We start from the raw sequence: 1,553 nt of genomic DNA, 5'->3' as shown, positions 1-1,553 counted from the left end.
TAGAAGCTTGTATTCTTTAAAAGTTTTACTCAAGAGCAAGGCCATGTCAACCTAAAATAATAAAAAAAAGGTCAGAATACAGTTTAAAGAGGATTTATTCAAACACAAAGGTTGAGAGATACATCCTGGGACACACTTCCAAGTTCCTTGGGACATACTCTGGAGAACAAAAGAGTGGTTCAAGGTTTCAAAGAAAAAAAAAAGAACAAATCAGGAGAAGGGGTGATTACAAAAAGTTATTTGTCAGTAATTGTCATTGGTTTACAAAAATAACATTGAGCGGTGATTGATTATACATTGATAAATTATAGCTGTATGTTATTTTATAGCTATTTGACATCAAGATGATCTAGGGCCCACATAACAAGTGTCTTCAAGACATAATTATTTAGCTCAAGGGGGAGTGAGACAGGACTGGTGTTACATTTTAAATGCCTTTCTGGGCCTGATAATGTAAAGGGGCTCATATTCCTCAGATAAAAGGGTTTTTTTCTTTTTATTTCCCCCCTTTTGATGAAAATCTTTCTTCTTGAAAGCACTTATGATCAAAATCTGACTGTCAAAGTGTCCCTTGTCACTGGGAAGGCTCATTTCCAGATAGTCCTGTCCCATGTCAAAGGGGGAAAGGGAGACAGTCTCAGTGAGGATTTTTTTTAAGAGTCCCTCAAAGCTCATTTAGGATGGCATCACAGAGTGGCAAAAGTGAGAACTCTGTCAAGCCATTGATTTATGTAGCTGCTGTTGCCTGTTGAAACATAAACACCATGATTTTAGTTTTCTCAGGAGTAACACATATGGATTATAACCAAAAAGAAAATTGGTATGCCAGAATGGAAAAACAAAAACACCCAAATCTGTTCCTTTAGGGAGCCAATTAAAAACATTATGAAGATAATTAAACCCAGGTTCTTCTTTAGAAACTTGTTGTAGCCATGAAGTAATTCAGGATTTAGTCCAAATGGTAGGAAAATAAAAAAACTCAAAAACAATGATAAGGGCTAGAATCCAATAACAGGTGTGCTATAGTTCTTATCTGAAACTTAATTTCTCTCTCCAGTTTCCCATTTCTACCAAAGACAAATCTTAGTAGGACCAATTTACTTGTAAAATAAGTTTTAGTATTATGTTTGGCCTGATTATTTGCACAAAGTATAACAAGAATAGTGATTGGCCATATAGGCTTCTTTTTTCATTTTTTATTTTTATTTTTTTTCTGTCCTTACAGTCTATTCACAAGGCTCCTTTTTAAGTTGGCTTTGCTGGAACTCTTTCATAAGTAATTTCAGATTAGACTTTTAAAAGCCTCTTGAAGTTATAAAGCCAAGCCAAGGATTCACCATCAGACTGTGCCTTTAATACCTGTATGAATTGGGTGAATTCCTTTCTTTTTGAGGTCCCCAAATATCTTGAGGTTCCTGGCCCTATCAAAAAACAACATTTTTCACTTACCACAAGGTCAGGAACCTTGTAAGAGAACCATGTAGACAAGGTATCAGGCCAGTTCTTTAAGTCAACTTTAATTCCTCAAACCCGTCTGGTCATATCTGAAAAGA

The sequence above is a fragment of the Homo sapiens genome, chromosome 1 (assembly GCF_000001405.40).
Source record: "Homo sapiens chromosome 1, GRCh38.p14 Primary Assembly".
Classification (NCBI taxonomy): Eukaryota; Metazoa; Chordata; class Mammalia; order Primates; family Hominidae; genus Homo; species Homo sapiens.
This window is presented reverse-complemented; position numbering follows the sequence as displayed.